Source organism: Homo sapiens, chromosome X, assembly GCF_000001405.40.
Source record: "Homo sapiens chromosome X, GRCh38.p14 Primary Assembly".
NCBI lineage: Eukaryota > Metazoa > Chordata > Mammalia > Primates > Hominidae > Homo > Homo sapiens.
The window spans coordinates 141,380,509-141,382,896 of NC_000023.11; the positions used below are offsets into that span (position 1 = coordinate 141,380,509).

Consider the following 2,388-nt stretch of genomic DNA (forward strand, 5'->3'; position numbering starts at 1 on the left):
ACAAAAAACATACTTCAAAGTAATAAAAGCCATCTATGATAAACTCACAGCCAACATCACTCTGAATGGGGAAACGTTGAAAGCATTCCCCCTGAGAACTGGAGCAACACAAGAATGCCCAGGTTCACCACTTCTATTCAACATAGTTCTAGAAGTCTTAGCCAGAGCAATCAGAAAAGAGATAAAAATAAAAGAAATCTAAATTGGGAAAGCGGAAGTCAAACTGTCACTGTTTGCCAATGATATGAACATATATCTAGAAAATCCTGAGTTGAGTGTCCTGAGAGGTCAGATTGTTGTCAGACATGGACTGTGGACATGGACATGAACATGAAGAAAGTAAAATGGAACTTCCAGATTATAAACAATGGAAAATAGAAGGGACACCATTAGAAACTGTCCAGATGCTGGCTGCATAAGGGCTAAGGTATCCATGGGGCTGCAATGAAACTTGGAGATACGTGGGTGGCTTTGCAAACAATGTTTCCTTTGTTGGTGTCTTATTAAAAGCATTCAAATGAGGATTTGCTGCATTTTTGGTAGCTGTGGGGGCTGAATATTACCTGGAGTCCCAGAATAAAAATAAGAAGCATCACTGAAGATAATATATAGAAGTATGTTAGTTGGTTTTTAACTCTCCAAAATAAGAGTTTTTTACTGTAGCCTACTCATTTGAGTTTGTCCCTTAAAACATGCTAGTAAGATTTCATAAAGTTAAAAAAAAGTAAAAAAAAAGAAAATCCTAAAGATTCATCCAAAAAGCTCCTATATCTGATAAACAAATACAGTAAAGTCTCAGGATACAAAATCAATGTACACAGATTAGTAGCACTGTTATACACCAACAACCAAGTTGAGAATCGAATCAAGAACTGAATCCCTTTTACAACAGCTGCAAAAAAATAATAAAATACTTAGAAATATACTTAACTAAGGAAGTGAAATATCTTACAAGGAAAGCTAAAAAAACACTGCTGAAAGAAATAATAGATGACACAAAATGGAAGCACATCCCATGTTTATGGATGGTTAGAATCAATATTGCAAAAATGACCATACTGCCCAAAGCAATCTACAGATTCAATGTAATACCCATCAAAATACCATCAACATTCTTTACAGAACTAGAAAAAATTATAAAATTCATAGGAAACTAATAAATAGTCTGCATAGCCAAAGCAAGACTAAGCAAAAAGAACAAATCTGGAGGCATCACATTACCTGACTTCAAACTATGCTACAAATCAATAGTTACCAACGCAGCATGGTCCTGGTATAAAAACAGGCACATAGACCAGTGAAATAGAATAGGGAACCCAGAAATAAAGTCAAATCTAATACTTACAGCCAACTGATCTTCAACAAAGGAAACAAAAACATAAAGTGGGGAAAGGACACTGTATTCAATAAATGGTCCTGGGAAAACTGGCAAGCCACATGTAGAAGACTGAAACTGGATCCTCATTTCTCACCTTATACAAAATTAACTCAAGATGGATTAAAGATTTAAATCTAAGACCTGAATCCATAAAAATGCAAGAAGATAACATCAGAAAAACCCTTCTAGGCATTAGCTTAGGCAAAGATTTCATGATCAAGAACCCAAAAGCAAATGCAACAAAAATAAAAATAAATGAATGGGACCTAATTAAACTAAAAAGTCTTTGAACGGCAAAATAATAATAACAATAAATCAACAGAGTACAACAGACAACCCACAGAGTGGGAGAAAATCTTCACAATCTTTACATTCGACAAAGGACCAATATTCAGAATATACAAGGAACTCAAACAAATTAGCTAGAAATGAACCAATAATCCCATCAAAAATTGGGCAAAAGATGTGAATAGAACATTCTCAATAGAAGATACACAAACATATGAAAACAAACATAAGAAAAAATGCTCAACAACACTAATTATCAGGGAAATGCAAATTAAAACCACAGTTAGATACTACCTTACTCCTGCAAGAATGGCCATAATTAAAAAGTCAAAAAATAATAGCTATTGTAATGGATGTAGTGAAAAGGGAACACTTTTACACTGCTGGTGAGAATGTAAACTAATGCAACCACTATGGGAAGTAGTATGGAGATTTCTTAAAGAACCAAAAGTAGAACTACCATTTGATCCAGCAATCCCACCACTGGGTATCTACCCAAAGGTAAAGAAGTCATCATATGAAAAAGACACATGCACATTTATGTTTATAGCAGCCCAATTCCCAAATGCAAAAATATGGAGCCAACCTAAATGACCATCAACCAATGAGTGGATAAAGAAAATGTGGTACATATACACAATGAAATACTACTCAGCCATAAAAGGAATGAAATTATGGCCTTTGCACCCACTTGGATGGAGCTGGAGGCCATTATTCTAAGT

At 34.8% G+C, this 2,388-nt stretch overlaps 1 pseudogene; it reads left to right on the forward strand.

Annotated features, from left to right (window-relative positions):
* Nucleotides 269–720, forward strand: NDUFB3P5 (NADH:ubiquinone oxidoreductase subunit B3 pseudogene 5; annotated as a pseudogene).